General features: G+C 35.0%; 1 protein-coding gene across 6 annotated transcripts in view; it reads right to left on the bottom strand.

The window, feature by feature from the left end:
• Positions 1–21701, bottom strand: part of ACSS3 (acyl-CoA synthetase short chain family member 3) — a 183340-nt gene that overhangs the window by 109788 nt on the left and 51851 nt on the right. For 5 of the 6 annotated variants that reach the window (XR_944720.4, XM_047429549.1, NM_024560.4 and 2 more), the window contains exons 3-5: positions 16419–16607; positions 12158–12292; positions 8176–8316 (exon numbers count right to left, since the gene is read on the bottom strand). Coding sequence is in view for 4 of the 6 variants with exons in the window: in XM_047429549.1 (XP_047285505.1) it covers positions 8176–8316; positions 12158–12292; positions 16419–16607 (465 nt within the window). In the remaining 2 variants the exon portion in view is untranslated. Of the gene's footprint in view, positions 1–5070; positions 5122–8175; positions 8317–12157; positions 12293–16418; positions 16608–21701 lie in introns of all 6 variants that reach the window. The other variant, NM_001330243.2, reaches the window with a different exon arrangement.

Raw genomic sequence — 21701 nt, 5'->3', positions numbered from 1 at the left:
ATGATTAAATAATAATAGCTGCTTGGAGGAAACAAAGTCATATTCTAACTGGAATCTCATTACAACGCTTCACTGAGGATCATGCAAGCACACTTTAAAGCTGAGCAATTCTTTAGTTATGAACTCTAGAACTCTTAGGGCTGAATTCCAGTGAGTTGAATCTAAGGTTAAAAAATTTGTCTTATATTGCATTTTGGGCAAAAGTAGGGATCATTATATCATTGTAGTAAAGTTTTCACAAATCAGTTTCAAATAGCTCTCCCCAACACTGGGACCATATTCAACCTAAATGAAAGATTAATATTTGAACACTGGGTATAAATGTCACCATAAATAAGAACTAATGGAAAATTTAATAATTAAGTTCATTTATTGTTTTAAAAAACATTAATCATCATTGGCCCAATAAGACATAACTGAGTGAATACTCAGAATGAGTAGGTGAACACCTGCTAAGAGATAGAAGGTATATTCCATTCACATGTATTTTGAAGCATCTTTTAGTACAACAATTATAACTGCTCTTATGCAAAAAAAATTGTTTTTTATGAAAGGGCAAACATGGATCTAATCAATAACTGTGCTATTAGTTATGCTTTTTAGCATAGCTCTGCACCTTAACACACATACACAAATCAGGAAAATGAAACAGAAATTGACTTTCCGTTAGTTACTAACATTGCTGCTCTCCTCAGGTGCCACTAATAAAACATAGGCATCATGCTGTGGAACATTATTTTATTCACCTGTAACAACACCTGGTCTCTTAGCAAATATCAGATGCAGTGTTGTTGGTATTTGAGAGCTATTTTCTAGATTGTATGACATGGTTAGCATGCAGCTGGCCCTGTTGATCTCCATGGGAACATTAGAAATTCTAAGCCCCCTGCCAGTAGGCTTTACACGTGCACCTTCCCATGTAAACGAAACAGTTATTTTTCCACTGTATCCTATCCTATCGTCCATGCACTTTGCTAGTTTGTTCTATTGAGAAGATCTTTTCCTATGGCTCAACAGATTGATGAATCTGATATTAATCAATTTGCAAACACTTTATAAAAACTATTCATTTTACAGACTAGAAAAAGTAGCTTTTGTAGACAATATGCTGTCCATGTGTTATGACAGATGGTGATACTTAATATCAGTAATAATTTCAATTAAACATGTTTTAAAATTTTCTCTCCATCCTACATGTCCCTGCATTTAGAACCCATTTTTATCAGTAACTCTAAACATTATTAAAACTAGGTAAATGTTTAGACCATATGGTACAGAGGGTAAGATGCATTGACTAGAAATGATGACCAGAAATAAAAGGTAAGGGAAGACATAACTGAGTAGTAATTCAATTGTAAAACCTGAAACATAAATGTAAAGGATAAGTTGACAAATTTCTATTTACCTCTCAGATGAGTACTTCTTCAAACGACATTTACCAATGTCACTTTGTCTGTAAATTAGTGAATACTTAAACCCATCTGACCAAAAAAAAGAGACTTAAAAATGAGAACATGCGTGAAAAAGCATTAAAAGTTGTAAAGACTAAAATTTAAAATTTCATTAACAATATTATTTCCTTGGTTCTAGCAATTATTGCTTTTTATTTTACCCTGTGCTCCTATCAGTCAAAAGGCATAAATGTCAAAATAATTAGAGGTTGCCGTCAAAGATTCTCATTTAAAACAATTAAAATGAAGCTGAAGGAGTGAGAAGAGCCGTAATTTCTGTTTTTCGTTAGTCTTTGATACCCACTTACTTTTATTTTTTAAAGAATGAGTATAAAAATTTTAATCAAGCATCTTTTTACCATTTATTAATCTAGACTCTAGATCTGCAATTTGGTCTTGCCTCTCAAATGCTCAGATAATACAGTTTCAAATTTCTGAGTATTTGATATGGTGCAGAAAAAAGAAATGCATGGTTTCATATTCTCCAGGTTCACGTTTTGTAAGAGGTTTGAAAGTATAAAAAACACGAAGGTTACATTTCAAGAGAATTTCTTTAGCATAAATATTAATTTGTAACAAAAATAAGATGATAAAGCATTTTTGTTTCCTGTTTATAATCACATTTTCCAGGTAATGATAATTAAAATGCAAAAGAGAAACACCATTCAGCCTCTGAAAACACATAAATTATGCTCCAGAAAACAAACCATTATACTATAACTAAGCAAATTTAGTTGTAAACTAAAAATAGCACTTTTACAGTATATCTGAATATGAAGTAAAAATACTCAATACCAGTGCTTACCCCTAAAACACAAACCTTCTTCATTTTAGTCTTTCGAATCTCTATTATTTATTATTACCTTCTATATGCACTTTCTTTTTTTTCCTTTGAGATGGAGTCTTGCTCTGTCACCCAGGCTGGAGTGCAGTGGCACGATCTTGCTCACTACAACCTCCGCCTCCCAGGTTCAAGCGATTCTCCTGCCTCAGCCTCTCGAGTAGCTGGGACTACAGGACTACAGAGGCATGCCACCAGGCTCAGCTAATTTTTTTTTTTTTTTTTTTTTTTTTAGTAGAGGCAGGGTTTCACCGTGCTAGCCAGGATGGTCTCGATCTCCAGACCTCGTGATCTGCCCGCCTCGGCCTTCCAAAGTGCTGGGATTACAGGCATGATGCACTGCGCCTGGCCTCTCTATGTACTTATACTCTACCTACCTTAAAAGTAAAGTCACTAGATGATCTCATATATTCTCATAAAAACCCTGTAACCTGCCAATATGCTGTTCCGATCTTTTGGTAGGATCAGTCATAATTCTTAAAGATGTCTGCGGAACTTGAAAAATATCCAGATGGGACTAGCACTCTGTGCCCTGAATAAAGACATGAAAGTGAATCCTATCTCAGACATAGCAATGGAAGCAATATGAAGGTGCTCTCTTTTGGGAGTGGGGGACAAATACAATGTTTATGGTGTTTAAAAAATCCAATCAGTGCAAGTAAAAGTAAAGGGTGAATGTTAGTTACTCAGAAATAGGACCACAAAGTTATCACAGATAGTTCTTTATAATTTCCAGCTTACTGAGCTACTTTTGAAGACAAGTAAACTCACAGATTGTCATAAATGGGGCTATTAAAGTAAAACAGAAAACATGTTGGTGTAAATGTTGTGTGCAGTTTTGGCTGCCACAACTTGAAAAAGAAAAATGCAATTGTAACAATAGGTGTTGTAGAAGAGGAGGGAAGCCTGAAGTGTGTGGTAAGATTAAGAATTTGGGATTCTTCATTGTAAAAATATAAGTTTTTTTTTTTAATGGTCTTTAAATATCTGACAGGCAAATCCCAAAATACTGAGAGTAGAAAAGCTTAGAGTACATGACAAAACTTCCTATTTCCTACATTAAGTCCCTCTATCATTTATTTTGTAATAAAGAATCATACAAGGCAAATATATATATATATTTACATATGTAAAATGTCTATTCACATACACACATGTAAACATATGCATGTATCCATGCATGTGTACATATTTATATGCTTATGTATATGTATGTATACATATATATATACATGTGTGCGTTTGTGTGTGTGTGTGTGTGTGTATCAATTCAGCCTGACAAGAAACAATAAAGGGGGAAAATAAATTTTATTTGAAGGAAAGAAAAGAAACCCATCACCAGATGATGGCAGGCGTCAGAGAAAAAAAATGAATGGTTCTGATTGTTTAAAAGATCTAACACGTCAGCACTAAACCTTGTTTTGACAGTGGTTTGACAGATGGCATCCCCTTTTTCTAGAGTAAGCCTCCACCCCTTTTCTAAACCTGATGAACTCCAATGTCTTCACCAGGAGTACTTCAAGACATTGCAAAAATACCACCTCTTCTGGGAAGTTTCACCCCATCCTGTTATTTGTGTCAAATGTCTTTCAGGTCCTCTTTCACAGCCCTCAGGGCCTGCAAACCTCATCAGAGGACTGATATCCCCACCTAGTGCTGTGCCTTCTCCACCACTTTGAGCACAGTGAGGACAACATCTTTGTATCTTCAGCACAGTGTCTGGGATAGAATAGGCATTTAATACATTTGTTGACTGTCTAAATGAGTGAACAGTTTAGTGTATAAACCCGTGTGAACAATGCAATTATTTCAACAAACACTCTTTGTTCAGGAGAAACCCTTGACACTTGTAGAACTTAGTGAATCTTGAATCTTCTTAGAAGGCATAAAAAGTTTCTATTCGGGATATTTCATCAAACATGAAATATCTTGATACAGGTTTTCAGATGATTCTGAAGCTATGTCCATGGAGGATATTTTGGCAGTTGTATAATTTTTTTGTCGATCTGAACAACTGTGAGCTAAGGGGCAAGGGTGCAACCAGTTCAGCACTTTAACTGCAAGAGCGTACCACAGATCAAACAAAAAAGTTCACTGCTGTTTTTTATTTGACTTTCACTCTTTTTTTTTTCTGGGGCAGGAAGTAAGTGCCCATCAGGACAAAAGGCCTTATCTACCACTTTCTTGTCATGCTTTCTTTTCAATCTTTTCCTTTTGATTTCTTTCCCCCTGTTCTCTTTTGACACTGAACATTTTTCCTTTTTATATTATCATGATCCCTTTATGATATCAAACTGAACAAGATAAATATTATAATCACTAAATCTCCCATACCTAAAAGGACATCTGATCCAGATGAGGGATTCTTTTATCATGTAGTGCTTTGAACTATCTCAAATATAGGCACCCAGACCAAACAGAATAGAAGCCCACAACAAAACAGAAATGTATGCAAAGAAGCTCACATGTGGTTGCTGGAATATTTACAGCAGCTAACAGATTAACCTGTCATACAGCAACTTGACAACTCCAGGGTTGGCAAATGCTGATATGCAAATATGCTTTAAATGTATCTACAAATTCTAACCAAAGAACAGACTGCCTTATGTGTGTTTTATATTTGAGAAACAAGCATTTTTAGGCAGAAGAGTTTTATGAGCTCACAACATTATTTTTCCTCATGAAGATCAAGGATTGAGGAAACAAACCATATGATGACATCATATTTATATCTAAATGCTCCATTAATGCATGTGTGTTTATTTTTCCTATACTTACATTCTGTGGATCCCATATTAAGATTTTAGGTACTATTAATCCTGATTATACCTATGAAAAATGAAACGAGAATTGTATGAATAAGGAGGTGTCCAAGAAGCTGGCTTACTAGAGAAGTAAGAGATCATTCAACAAATATTCTGCTCTACCTGGGTCAAATTTTAATGTTAGTGCTACAGTGGATCCAAAAAGGATAATGTATATTCTAAGACCTCAGAGAACATTCATTGTTATAAAAGTAAATAAATAAAAACTAATATGTATAAGACAGGTTAAAATAAGTGCCATAAAAACTAATATCTATAAGATAGGTTAAAATAAGTGCCATGAAGGTCTGTTGGTAATGTAAAATTTAAAGCAATTTCAACCCTAAAGTCCACTGGAAGGAAGAGGGACCTAAAGAGATAACTACCTTCTTTTGCCATTCTGTATGTGTTAACTTTGCAAAGCCCACTCACGCACACAATTTAATCACCAGTCCTGTACCCCAGTGACCTACAAGGGTCTATCTCCAACCCCATATGTGTAACTCTTGGGCTCAGACTCTCATCACCAACTCTTGACTGGGCATCTTCATGTTAAATGTCCTGAAGACACATCATGATGAGTATGTCAAAGACTTTTAGTTTCCCTAGCCTCCAACCATCCTTCTGATTCTATTTCAGTGAATATTCAAAAGCACCCTCATATGTTCTCAAAGTCTTAGACTCCTAACTTTGAACCAAATCTGATTCCTCCCTGTTAAGCATGCTGTCCTATGTAAAGTCCCAAACTAATTAAACAGCCTGAAAACTAATTTCTTTGTCTCCATTGTGTGTAGTCACCTATCTTCCCAACTAAAGGATCACCTTCTATCTTGCATCACCTATGTTCATACCTAGTTCAATCTCACTAGACTAGAAGGACTGTACTTTACTCATAGTTGTATCTGTTGAGCACTCAATACAAATACATTATATTGAGTCAAATTCACTGTGATGCAGAAATCTCCACACAATTCAAGCCCTCTCAAATTTATTGAAATAGATTGTCTCAGGATGGTACATTAGGAGGAAAATGAGGATGATAGAAATATCAAAGGATCTTCCATTTAGGCATTGAAAGGAATCCAGAAAAGAACCTCTCAGAGAAAACCTGGGCCGGGCGCAGTGGCTCATGCCTGTAATCCCAGCACTTTGGGAGGCCGAGGCGGGTGGATCACGAGGTCAGGAGATTAGGACCATCCTGGCTAACACAGTGAAACCCCATCTCTACTAAAAATACAAAAAAAAAAAAAAAAAAAAAATTAGCCAGGCGTGGTGGCGGGCGCCTGTAGTCCCAGCTACTCGGGGGGCTAAGGCACGAGAATGGCGTGAACCCGGGAGGTGGAGCTTGCAGTGAGCCGAGATCGCGCCACTGCACTCCAGCCTGGGCAACAGAGGGAGACTGTCTCAAAAAAAAAAAAAAAAAGAAAAGAAAAAAAAGAAAACCTGGAATAGCTAGGGTCCATCCTTATTTGGAACCACTTTTCAATATAATGCTCTGTGTATTGCTTTTATTTGATTTCTACTACACTGGCAAGTCAGCTTTTAATTTCTGAAAACCTTTTCTTCTGCCCCTCCCATAAGATCCCATTCCAGGTCACAGTGAATTTCAGTGACTTAAAGTCTTGAGGTAGCACAAATGTTTTTATAAGATTTCTTCAGGCTTTTAAGAAACTAAATTTTTTAAAAATTAAGTTATACTGTGTTTTCAGGGTCAGGAGTTTTCTCTCAGTTGATACTTTTATATTAGATCATAACTTTGCTGAGTCCCCTCTTATTTTATAGCCAAATGTTCAGTTGGACTCCAGGTGGCTAGTGTGCAAGGCAGAACTGGAAAAAGTGGAGGTTGAGAATTATGTCGAGCAGATTATATGGCATGCTTCAATAAATAAATCTTCCAATCTTCAATATGCAGAAATATTTTTCAAGTCACTAGAGTTGCAACAAAATCATAAGGCTTCAATTCTACAATGAAACAAATATCTTCATGTGCATGCATCTACGTATGAATTCAACAAAAATTTATTGAGCACCAACTACATACAGCACAATGGTAGACCAAAATATACTAAAACATAACCTGTGTCCTCAGAGAGAATATATTACCCTACCAAAAGTGTTCCTTTTCACAAGCAAGGTTTATATGGAACATCTTAAATTTCCTTTTAAAAAGCTAACTAATCAAATAGAACCACTATTCTAAGAAGATTAAGAAATGAAGTTTTCAGAACACTGATGCTATAGCAATCTAACAGTAATAAAGAAGCCACTGTCCTCAAGGAAGAGAATGATTATGAAAGTCCCGTCCCCTACTAAAATTCTACAATTCAATGAATATTAAACCACCTAATAAAGATGAGTAAGGAAAATGATACTGTTATCTTTTATAAGGGTCTATGAAGAAACAGTGTTATTTGGAGATACCAGGCAAAAGTGGTATTTGTTGCTATTTGACGCATCAATGAATATTGATGCTTTCAACTTTGCTTTGTAAAAACACATTTCATGGTAAACAGATTTAAAAATCCTTGAGTGTCTTCCATGCTGTAAATCAAATAGTTCAATACTTTGGATAAATTGCCTCTGTTCAAACTGCCTAGGCCAATTCTCAAAATCACATTCATAATAAATAATTGAATTCCCCTAGATCAAAAAATCAATTCTATACTGCATGAAACTTATACCTCAATCTAAAAGAATAAAAATATTTTATTTAAAATATATTTTTATATAATGTTATTAAACCAACTGATATTCAATTAAACATCTACTAAAGCAATTGTATATTTCTAGCATTTGAGACAATTCTGGAAGAAATGAGAGCAAAATATTTGATGTTAAATAATAAATGTTTTTATATTTAGCACTAAACACAAAATCTCTTTAAGATATGGAGTAACTGTGTCAGGTGAGATCACGCCACTGCACTCCAGACTGGGCACAGGAAAAAAAAATAAAAGCAAATGAAGTAACTCTCTAAACTTCAAAGTAAAGTCTGCAAACATTTCCAGTCAGTGATCAAACATTCTTGGTGCAAAGTAAATCTACTGCTATAGATAGTTATCTCTAAGAGAGTGAGTACCTTAGGTAACCCCGTTGTGCCAGATGTGTAAAGAATATACAGTGGGTGTTCTGAAAGAACAGGAACACAGTCATGTGACTGGGCTTTTGCCATCTCTTCATCCCAATCAAGGTCACGACCGGGAGCCAAAGGAACCGCCTCCTACACAGCAAAAATATAAGAATATGTACTGTAATAAGGAGATTAAATCAAGAGAACAAAAAGTAGCTAAATCTATTTAAGTCTGAGCATCTGACTGAAAATCTAGGCCTATATGGCACTGAACATCAGATTTATGACTAAAAAGTTCAAGTTCATGATTTAACATAAATGTTTATAAAAAGTCCAAAAGTTTTATATTCACTTCAACTAAACTGACAAAAAAGCATGTTTCATTTAAATCTAGAGATATCCTTTAGAAATTCAGTATAATGCAGTAATGTTTCCATCAACACTCATGGCTTAAATAACGTTTCATGTTTTTATAGATGTATGTACACTAATAACTTTATAAACTAATTTTTATTTTTCATAGCCTATTTATTTTATTTTGCATTTATTATCTTTACAATGATGTGTCAACTAAGCTATTAAAATTTCTCTTCATACAATGGCCTTTAGGAGTAATACCACAGCTACCTTTCCAAATAAGAAAACATTAATTCTTCTTCAGGAGTAGGGAAGAATTCTACTATTCCTTTTTGAAGACTAAAATCCAGTTTTGAAATTTAGTCAGAGTCTGTGATATATCTAAAATACAATCCAAGTTTTCCTCCTTCTAGTAAACTTTGTGATAATAGAGTCATGAGTTAAACAGATACTCCTTTAAAGAAATTAAATAGTCTTTTTTAAAAACAGTGACAATGAAATGGCCAGATGGGTGAAAAGCAGGGAAGTGGCTGATGGAAAAGTTACTCTGATGGGGAATTACAGCTATTTAAGTAGAGTTAATGCCCATTAAAAGCCTAGTTTTTTTCTTAGATGTTAGCTGAGCTCAAGATCACACATCAGGAAGTTTATAATTGGCGAACATGTTAGCACAAGCACAAGCAAAGTTATATAACACTCAATGAAAGTTAATGAGATCTACTATCTAGAGATGTATGTAACCATTTCATTAAAGTGATTCCTGAGATAAGCCCAAAGATTGAAAAATTTAGAAAAGACAAGCCACTTCCATTTTCTAAGCTGCTTAATACATTAATCAGGGTTGTAAAAACTGTTCATATATTTAAATAGGTACATTTACCAATTAATACTTCAATATAATATCACAAATATGATGCCTGTATGAATATGATACCTGTATGAATAAACACATTTATAGCTAACACATTTATAGCTGAATCGAAGACCCTGTATCAAGTTGAAGTTTCAGGCCAAACTGCTTTCTCCAGCCCCACTCTGATAGGTACTGGCTCTGCCATTTAGATAAATAAAATAGTTGACTATGACCAAATCATACGTTTCCATTTCTATTTATACAATGGATAAAAGCAACTAATTGCAAATTATCAAACTTTTGACAACACAGAGATCTATAAAAATCATCACACTGCAAAATACAAACATCAAATTGAGGATCACAAAAATAATTACAGGTTGATAATTTTGATAGGACTCTAATGAAATTAGGACTTCAATAAATGGTTATTCTTCAGGCTAAGAAACAGAGGTATGTGCAAAGGAGATCTGAGAAACAGAGGAAAAAAAACACTTTCACATATATGCATTTACTTCTATAGATATGTCTTTCCTAATTCTTATAATTCTTAAAAGGCGGTATTGGGAGAGCATAGGGGTGATTGATGCAATATCCTTTGATTCCATCATTGTTTGCCTGAGGCTTAGGTGTGGCAGCCAAGTTTTTACCTCCTCTTACAAAAATGCAATCCTGGTTAATAAGACACACCACTGAGCCTCATAATTTGTGTCTCTCTAAATTCAAAGCAAAGCCATTCCACTGGGCTTAGTTACTGCCAAAACAGCAGGTCTAATAGAAAGAACAAGAGATTTCTACAGCCCTCATCTATATCACAATAGAGGAAAGGGCCTGCAGAAAAAGAGAGAAGCTGAGAAAGTAAGCTAGTTATTGGAGGGGAGCAGGCAGTTAATCTCTATTAAGAAGAAAAGAGAAGAGACTTGCACATATCCAATGTGTTTATAGTGAAAGAAATAGCATATATCTTGTTGGTTACAAATCATTAAACTGGAGTTTAAATCCTGGTTCTGCCACTTAGTAGCCGTGACTTTGGGCTATGACCTCTCCATTACTCAGTTTCTTTATCTCCAAAATAAGGCTAGAAACAGCATGTATTTCATTTGTTTGTTAGAATTAAATAAGAAAAAATATTTGGAAGTACTTAGCATTGGGCCTAGAACTTAGAACATCATAAGTTCTGAACAAATTACATGTTCAGCACTTATATACTGTAAGTATATGTAATGTAAACAGCACACATATACTCACATATGCATACATTGTGTGTGTGTTCCTGCCATTCCTCTAAACTGTTCTTACCCAAAGCCTTCTATATTACTGATTTTGCATTGCCTGATTTAAACAGCAAAGAAGCTTTTTTAAAAAAAGTGCTTGAGGTCTTCTGAAAGAAACTTAAAATTCTTCTTCAAGATCATAAGAACATTAAAATCATTAAGTGCAGCAGTTCATGAACCACAGACTACTAAAACTTTACACAGGAATTTAATGTGGTAATGGGAATTGCTAGGTGGTAATCAAAATGACATATTTTTAACACTCTGTTCTCATATCTTGTCATTTAAGTATTTTCAAAGAAAACTTGTCAAGAGTTCTATAAATTAATTGCACATGATTCTTTGCAGTCTTGCAATTTCACTTCTGCAAAAAAAAAAATTTAATCTGCTAGAAACCCAAGTTGGTCTTATCATAAATAGCTAGAGATTTGCTTGGGTGAAGAAGTAAGGTGATCATGAGTTCAAAGTTACAGGAAAAGTACGGTAAATTGTATTCATTGATATCTTATACTGTTCTCCCTTCCTTCATAGATCACAGAATAATTTATCTACTTAGAATATTCATGTTTTGTTTTCCTAAGCATAGTTTTATTTCTGGCCTAAATACTCTTCAAAATTTTAAGAAGACAATTGCATGCAAATTAATCACACCACTCCAAGAGTCAGTATAGCTGAGGGATTAAGCATGCAGTCAGAGCGCATGCATTCGCATCTTGACACTGGCACTTTCAAACTGAGAAAGTTACTTTATCTCCATGTTCACTGGAGTCTTCTTTTATTAAAATAGTAATAATATTATCATCTAGTTAATAGAGTTACCAGGAAGATTAAAAAATATGGCCGGGCGCGGTGGCTCACACCTGTAATCCCAGCACTTTGGGGGGCCCAGGCAGGCGGATCACGAGGTCAGGAGATCGAGACCATCCTGGCTAACACGGTGAAACCCCGTCTCTACTAAAAATACAAAAAATTAGCCGGGTGTGGTGGCAGGCACCTGTAGTCCCAGCTACTCCAGAGGCTGAGGCAGGAGAATGGCATGAACCCAGGGGGCGGAGCTTGCAATGAGCGGACATCGGCCACTGCACTCCAGCCTGGGCGACAGAGTGAGACTCTGTCTCAAAAAAAAATAACAATAATTATTATTATTATTATTTTATATATATATATTCATTAGTAGAATGTCTTAAAAATCATATGGTAAGCAGTCACTTCGTGTTTGTTATTATTATTGCTAATATAATCTGAGCTAATAAAAAACACAACAATAGCAATATACATAGAATCCAATTCATTAATCTCACACATCTTTCTGTGTTTCACTCTTTTGGTTTTAAGCTAGATTTTCATGAAGTCAGTAAGTCTTATTCATATATTTTTTAGAAATAACAATAACATTCAGCAGTATACTTAATAGCTTATAAATCAAATGTCTCTTTTAAATGGTAAAAACTAAACTCATTCTTAGCATATTACCATAAGCAAGAACCAAATTCAATATTCAGATTACCATATTTGGACGATTATAAATGAGAATTTTGTCTGGTTTGTGTTGTCCTATTTTTAGCGCTTCTTCTACAAGTGGTACGTACTCTACCCTCCTTCCAGGTTCAATGCCAAATGATGCTGTAACAACCACCTTGGGCTACAATTAAAAAATAATAATGGAGAGAAAGCTTTAACAATGTTAATTAGGTAATCACAATATTTTAGTTGCAGACTGGCAATTCAACATTTGTAAAGAAATGTCTGAATGTTTCTGTTTTCTATTGAATGGTCTGAAAACCAGTAAACCCTTTGTAATTGTTAGAGACTTGATCACTTCTACACAAATCTCACTTACCTGTTCAAAACTGCATGCTCAATGATGTTTTTGACTCATATGTATGAAATGTATAAATCCCTTTCAAATAATCCATTAAGCCAGGTGGATTTGCCATAAACTAGTACAATGCAAATCTTGAGGCCCCTTACTTGCAAAGGCCCCAATAAGAGCTGGCTGCTGCTGAGGTTGTAGTAGCATTTCATAGGTTTTCTATATATTTCTCTTCTAAATGCCTAAAGAGATTACAGCAGAAAAAGACCCAAATCTCCAATAATTTATAATAATTTTTTCTCATTCTAAATATATATTCATGTTCACCAAATATTACATTATATTATTTTCTTAAAAAGGCTCCCAAATGATTAAAGTTTCAAGCCCCACAAAGCCTAGACCTGCCCCTGTCCTTAAGATACACTTTATACTCTTTACCTGCCAACTTGTTAAGTCATTCTTCAAGACAAACACAGGTGTAGGCAAAATGTATCCCTGGTGGGAACCACAGCTTATGTTAACCTCTCTTTTCAGTACATTCTGGACATGCCTCAAATGTTCAGCTATAGTCAGTGTTCATAAATCTCTATTACTGCACAGTAAGCTCTATAAGGCCAAGTTTGGATGTCATTTATTTTTGTGTTTCCTATACCTAGCACAGTGCTTGGCATGTCATGAGCTTTCAGTAAACGTTTGCGGAACTCATTAATTTGCAGAAAAATAAGTCCTCATATTTTTAAGTACATTGTTTCTTCACCAAGAAATCCAAAGCAAAAGAGACACATAATAAATTATTCGGAAGGCAGATAATTGACCCAAAGTATTGCATGTATTCCTGAATTCTGATTTCTAGTTATAATACATTTCATCTAGGAAAGGTTTATACTGTGCTAAATATATGCATATATAGTATTGCCTGCTTTTTGAATATAATTTAATATTCATGGAACAGAGGCTCAGTGCAATTACATAGTTTGCCCCAGGTTACAAGTGGCGAAGGCAGAAGGAAGGCCAGTTCTGTCTGGTTGCAGAACCTCTTTCCACCATATCAAGCTGCCTTAAAACAAAAAGGAAAAAAAAAGCAGAAAGTCTTGTTTCCTTTTATTATATTTTTAAAGGTCAGACATTTGAATATAATTCACATTTTAATATCTATAATACTCACAAAAATAGCTCTAGATAGCATTCCTTAGAATTCTGAATAAACAAAAGCAAGCTACATATCAAATTAGGAGCATATATAGAATATATCAAAGCTTGAATAATTTAATAAAGTCAAAATTAGACTCTTCCTCTGAAAAAATAATTCCTTTCACATTTCTATTAACAGTCTTATGGGAGATCTTATTGAGTCTAGACTGACTTGTTAGAATACATCCTTTCCATCTTCTTCTGTTAAAATAAAACTTTTTCTTTAGCCTATTTATTTGAAGATCATGACATCAAAATCATTCCTAATTTCAACTACACACTAATTTTACCCAACTATCTCAGATATATATATCTCCATCTTCTCTCCTTACATTTGACCTGCCCAATTGCCTTGTCCATAAAAGCATTTATTGCATAAACCCCTTAACAAAGGAGTATTAGGGGTGTGTGTGTGTGTGTGTGTGTGTGTGTGTGTGTGTGTGTGTGATGGATGAAAATTCCTTAAGTGGTACACCATAAGTTTTTTAAATCCTTATTGTTTTACATATTGTAATTTCCCTATATCTTATCAAAATTTTTTACAGTTTCTTTTGCAGGTCAGTGACTGATATTTTTTCCCTAGATTTTCTTCATAGGCATTAACTCAACATGTTTAAAAAGAAAAAAAAAAAGATAAAAAAGGACCCAGATGGTTTGTCCACAAATCAGCTTTCTTGTTTTAATAACTAATCTATTACAAGATAAAGTGAGATATGCAAAGCCTCACTCTATACCTAGTACTCAGGGGGCCTTCAGTATATATTAGCTTTCTTCCCATTAAGAATGTCTCATCTTGGGCTTGTAAAACTCTAAAGGTCAACCATCTCTTGCTCTGATAAGCACCTTCCTTCCTTAATCTTCCCAGAGTCCTTTTTCCCCTTCATATTGCCCACTGTTTCACAAACAGACCACCTATCAAAGGTTTTTATTACAGCTTCCAGCTTCACTCCCACTTACATACTGCAAGACCTGCCTCTTCTTAACATTGTTTAAAACATGACACTTGCCTGTTCAAAAACTTTTACTCATTAACAGAATCCAGTTCAGACAAAACCTACCCTTGCAAGCTCACCTTCTCTCACCTTTTAGTCACATTGGTCTACTTACTGTCCTTCCAAATGAATTTTACCATTTCCTGTCTCTACTGCTTGACTCAGATTCTTTTTCTGCCTTTTTGGATCCTACTATGTCATTCTCTTCAACTAGCTGAATCTTAGCCAAGATCTAACTCAAATCTCATCTCCTTCAGGAAGCCTTCTTTGGCCACCCGACTGAAAGAAAATGCCTCTTCCTCTAAATCAGGGGTCTGCAAACTATGGTTGTGAGCCAAACCCGGCACACAGCCTGTTTCTATAAAATATTATTGAAAAATGCACACCTATCATGTACATGTTGTCTAAGGATGCTTTTGTGCTACAGCAGCAAAGCTGAGTAGGTGCGATAGAGATCATGTTATCCATACTGCCTAAAATATTTACTATCTGGTCAATTACCATTAAAATTTTTCTAACTCCTGCACTAAATTCATAGATTAATAATAGTTAACATTTTTTAAATGTGTACTATATGCCAGACAGTGTGCTGTTTTAGATTAAATAGCTCAATGATATTTCACAACAGACTCACTAAATTGTTATTTTTGTACCCCATTCAAACATATATACTTCCTGGAAGTATATGGATTGTAAAACTAGTTATATGTCCCATCCATTTGATAAGTATTACTTATTACCCAGTTGCAAAGACAGTGTCAGGAACATAGCAGGAGCTTAATAAAATATATGTTGAATGAACAAATTAGTTATTAGTCCTTTTCTTGTATGTCTTATACACCCAAATATATGACAAGCTAAGTTGGAAAGCAGACACCTTATCTTATAGTTTATATTCCCCAAGGCACCTAGCAAGATGTCTTTCACATAGGACTGACTTTAAAACAAATGTGTGATTAACAGGTGTATGTGAAATAAAAAACATTTTATTTATGTATTTATTTAAATAGCTTGAAGTCTGGACTTTTAGGGTACTTGTCACCCAAATAGTGTACATTGTATCCAATAGGTAGTTTTTCATCCTTTATCCCCGTTCTGGGTTTCCAGTGTCCATTATACCACTCTATATGTCTTTGCATACACATAGCTTAGCTCCCACTTAACAGTGAGAACATGAAGTATCTGGTTTTCTGTTCCTGAGTTGTTTCACTTAAGCTAATGATCTCCAGTTCCATCCAATTTGCTACAAAAGGTATTACTTTATTCTTTGTTATGGCTGAGAAGTATTCCATGGTGTGTGTGTGTGTATATATTTTATTTTATATATTATTATAATATTATATATTATATATATTTATATATTATTATATGTATTTAAGTATTATTGTATTATATATTATATATAATGTGATATATATTATATATGTGATATATAATATATTATAATATATAATATATAATGTGATATATAATATATATTATAATATATATAATATATTATATATATCACATTTTATTTATCCACTCTTCAGTTGATGGTCACTTAGGTTGATTCCATGTCTTTGAAATTGTAAATTAAGCTGCAATAAACATATGCATGTAGGCGTCTTTTTGATATTTAATATAATGATTTCTAGGAAAAGTATTTATCAACCATCCTATTTGAAGGGAGGATCTAACAAGTATAGAGCATTCTCAGATGATTCATCCACAGATAAATATGACTAAATTATACATAGCTACTACTTGATTTCCCAAAATAAAGCACTTACCTTTACATGATCAATGCGACTACTTAGTTCTTTGGAAGCAAATCCTCCAAATATGAGACTGTGGATGGCACCTATCCTTGCACATGCCAACATGGTATACATCGCCTGTGGGATCATAGGCATGTAGATAACCACAGTGTCACCTTTCTTGATGCCATGCTTGACCAAGACACCAGCCAGCTTGGAGACCTATGCCAAGACCATTAAATCAGTAAAGTGTATTTTGTATTATTTCACCAAACTTCTAACTTAAGGCAGTAATATTAGAAGCTGATCACCCGCTTGGTAGTAGATTAAAGGAGCCTAAGTAACACATATTTGATGATGATGATAATGCTTTAGATGGTGAGAGTAATAACAATTGTATTATAATCATTGATTATAAACCAACCTACTATTATTATGTCACATAAACTTTATGACTTAAGATTGCTTAACCATTCATGTCACAACATTTTTACTGAGCAACTATTATACACCAGACATAGTATGTAAGAGTTGGGAATGTAACACTGATAAAAGAAAGACACAGAATTGTCCCTGTAGAGCCTATGTATTGCAAAAGGTGAATCTGTCAGGTGAACAGAAAAACAAAATATTTACAAATTTAGATAGATGTTGGGTAACTGTTAAAGGAAGCAAGTATATATTCATAAAGAAAACATATCACTAAACACTAATAAAGCAAATAAGACAAATTCTACTATATTATTATTTACATCTAAAGATAAGGTAATAAGGTTCAGAGCTAATAAACAGCTAACCAAGGTCAGAGAACTAGCAAATGCTGTAACAGGACACGATCACAGGTCTTCCGACCTCATATTCTTTGCTCTTTCTACTGCCTTTATAGTTTTTTTTTACACTAATTATTATACAAAATGACTTTCCTCTGTATTTGGATACAACATACACAGTTCTTTTTTTTTTTCTGTTTTTGAGACCTCAACATATAAATGTCTCTTCCCCGTAACATGTTTTTGTACTTTCTAGCAATAAAGACAAAACAGATTATAAGCCACACATGATAAAATTTATTGCAAGAATCCTTCCCATGGGCAATTATAGAGGGCTGTGGGAAGTACTCCCAGATCTTAATGAATAAGTAGTTCAACATTCTTTTACTTAAAATATATATATTAAGTATCTATTATATGTCAGACACTGTTTTCAGATACATCAGATAAGTAAACAAGACAAGACAATAATCTCTACCCTGCAAGTACTTATACTTTAGCAGAGAAAATACTCACAATAAGCAATAAACACAATAAATAAGTAAATTATCTATTGTGGTAAAAAATCTTCAATCATATGCAGGAGGGAAGTAGAGCAGAGTAAAGAGGATTCAGAGTGCAGGGGAAGGGGTGGATGTAATTCTCACCGGGAGCTCACTAAGAAAGCAACAGTTTTGTAAGACATGTAGAAGTTGAAAAAAAGTGGATATCTATGAATGTACTATTTCAGGCAAAGAGAACATCAGTGAAATACAAACATGTAAGAGGTAAAGGAGATCATATGTGATGCGATCAAGGAACAGCAAGGAAACCAGGGGCCTGGAGAAGAAACAAGTGAAAAGACAGTTGTCGATCAGGTCAGGGAGCCAAAGGGCCTGTAGGGGCATGGTGGGCAATTGGAAGGACCATGGCTTGCCTTTGAATGTGACTGTCCAACACAATGAACAGAGGAGGCTTGGGAGAAGAAATTAGGTCACATGTCTATTTATGGCTCCTTTCATTTTTGTCTCTCCTACTTTCTGGACAAGTTTAAAGAATTCTGAATCCTGGCCATTTTTCTCTTTTCTATTTATTCACTTCCTCTGTATGGATGGGGACAGGTGTGGTGAAGGTTAAGGGATCTGGTGAAAGACAGAAAGAAAAAAAAAAACACGATTTTAGTGTTTTATTCTACTTTATATTGCAAACTCTATAATTGAGTGCTATGTTTCAAGAACTTCAAAGACGCTAGCAGAAGATTATGAGAAAGATACACCAAAGTAATAAAAATCATGAACTTGAATTATATATGGAACTCAAAAAAACAAGACAAAAATTGGAAAGTTATATCCAAACATCTCAGTGTGCAACCCCTGCAGAAAGTGACCATGCTTCATTATCACATTACTAGGTACATCATTTAAGGTACCACACTGAGAGAGACCAACGAGAATAGCTAGTCATAGCCAAAGCTGTGACTTCAGCATCTTGAATTATGCCAGTTGAATAAAAATGACATTCAACCAAGGCCCACACTACCAATAATTCAGTAACTTTATAATCCAGTCTCACTTTACAGTGTTGATGGAAGATGCCCACCAATTTTCTGTCCTCTGAAAGAAATGAGATTAAAAAATAACTAAGATCAGAGCAGAACTGAAGGAGATAGAGACACAAAATTTCCTTCAAAAAATCAATGAATCTAGGAGCTGGTTTTTTGAAAAGATCAACAAAATAGATAGACTGCTAGCAAGACTAATAAAGAAGAAAAGAGAGAAGAATCAAATAGACGCAATAAAAAATGATAAAGGGGATATCACCACCGATCCCACAGAAATACAAACTACCATCAGAGAATACTATAAACACCTCTATGCAAATAAACTAGAAAATCTAGAAGAAATGGATAAATTCCTGTACACATACACCCTCCCAAGACTAAACCAGGAAGAATTTGAGTCCCTGAAAACACCAACAACAGGCTCTGAAATTGAGGCAACAATTAATAGCCTACCAACCAAAAAAAAGTCCAGGACCAGACAGATTCACAGCCAAATTCTACCAGAGGCACAAAAACGAGCTGGTACCATTCCTTCTGAAACTATTCCAATCAATAGAAAAAGAGGGAATCCTCCCTAACTCATTTTATGAGGCCAGTATCATCCTGATACCAAAGCCTGGCAGAGACACAACAAAAAAAGAGAATTTTAGACCAATATCCCTGATGAACATCGATGCAAAAATCCTCAATAAAATACTGGCAAACCGAATCCAGCAGCACTTCAAAAAGCTAATCCACCATGATCAAGTTGGCTTCATCCCTGCGATGCAAGGCTGGTTCAACATAGGCAAATCAATAAACGTAATCCATCACATAAACAGAACCAAAGACAAAAACCACATGATTATCTCAGTAGATGCAAAAAAGGCCTTTGACACCATTCAACAGCCTTTCATGCTAAAAACTCTCAATAGACTAGGTATTGTTGGGATGTATCTCAAAATAATAAGAGCTATTTATGACAAACCCACAGCCAATATCATACCGAATGGCCAAAAACTGGAAGCATTCTCTTTGAAAACTGGCACAAGACAGGGATGCCCTCTCTCACCACTCCTATTCAACATAGTGTTGGAAGTTCTGGCCAGGGCAATCAGGCAGGAGAAAGAAATAAATGGTATTCAATTAGAAAAAGAGTAAGTCAAATTGTCCCTGTTTGCAGATGAATGATTGCATATTCAGAAAACCCCATCATCTCAGCCCCAAATCTCCTTAAGCTGATAAGCAACTTCAGCAGAGTCTTAGGATACAAAATCAATGTGCAAAAACCACAGGCATTCCTATACATCAATAACAGACAAACAGAGAGCCAAATCATGAGCGAATTCCCATTCACAATTACTTCAAAGATAATAAAATACCTAGGAATCCAACTTACAAGGGATGTGAAGGACCTCTTCAAGGAGAACTACAAACCACTGCTCAACAAAATAAAAGAGGACACAAACAAATGGAAGAACACTCCATGCTCATGGATGGGAAGAATTAATATTGTGAAAATGGCCATACTGCCCAAGGTAATTTATAGATTTATTGCCATCCCCATAAAGCTACCAATGACTCTCTTCACAGAATCAGAAAAAACTACTTTAATGTTCATATGGAACAAAAAAGAGCCTGCATTGCTAAGACAATCCTAAGCCAAAAGAACAAAGCTGGAGGCATCACGTTACCTGACTTCAAACTATACTACAAGGCTACAGTAACCAAAACAGCATGGTACTGGTACCAAAACAGAGATATAGACCAATTGAACAGAACAGAGCCTTCAGAAATAACACCACACATCTACAACCATCCAATCTTTGACAAACTTGACAAAAACAAGAAATGGGGAAAGGATTCCCTATTTAATAAATGGAGCTGGAAGAACTGGCTAGCTATATGTAGAAAGCTGAAACTGCATCCCTTCCTTACACGTTATACAAAAATTAATTCAAGATGGATTAAAGACTTAAATGTTAGACCTAAAACCATAAAAACCCTACAAGAAAACCTAGGTAATAGCATTCAGGACATAGGCATGGGCAAGGACTTCATGACTAAAACACCAAAAGCAATGACAACAAAAGCCAAAATAGACAAATGGGATCTAATTAAACTAAAGAGCTTCTGCATAGCAAAAGAAACTACCATCAGAGTGAACATGCAACCTACAGAATGTGAGAAAATTTTTGCAATCTATCCATCTGGCAAAGAGCTAATATCCAGAATCTACAAAGAACTTAAACAAATTTACAAGAAAAAAATCAAACAACCCCATCAAAAAGTGGGTGAAGCATATGAACAGACACTTCTCAAAAGAAGACATTTATGCAGCCAACTGACACATGAAAAAATGCTCATCATCACTGGTCATCAGAGAAATGCAAATCAAAACCACAATGAGATACTATCTCACACCAGTTAGAATGGCGATCATTAAAAAGTCAGGAAACAACAGGTGCTGGACAGGATGTGGAGAAATAGGAACATTTTTACACTGCTGGTGGGAATGTAAACTAATTCAACCATTGTGGAAGACAGTGTGGCGATTCCTCAAGGATCTAGAACTAGAAATACCATTTGACTCAGCAATCCCATTACTGGGTATATACCCAAAGGATTATAAATCATGCTACCATAAAGACACATGCACATGTATGTTTATTGTGGCACTATTCACAATACCAAAGACTTACAACCAACCCAAATGTCCATCAATGATAGATTGGATTAAGAAAATGTGGCACATATACACCACGGAATACTATGCAGCCATAAAAAAGGATGAGTTCATGTCCTTTGTAGGGGCATGGATGAAGCTGGAAACCATCATTCTAAGCAAACTATCACAAGGACAGAAAACCAAACACCACATGTTCTCACTCATAGGTGGGAATTGAACAATGAGAACACTTGGACACAGGGCGGGGAATATCACACACGGGGGCCTATCATGGGGTGGGGGGAGGGGAGAGGGATAGCATTAAGAGAAATACCTAATGTAAATGATGAGTTAATGGG

Source organism: Homo sapiens, chromosome 12 (genome assembly GCF_000001405.40).
Source record: "Homo sapiens chromosome 12, GRCh38.p14 Primary Assembly".
Taxonomy (NCBI): Eukaryota; Metazoa; Chordata; class Mammalia; order Primates; family Hominidae; genus Homo; species Homo sapiens.
The sequence above is the reverse complement of the archived record's forward strand: the minus strand, read 5'-3'. Positions and strand labels throughout refer to the sequence as shown.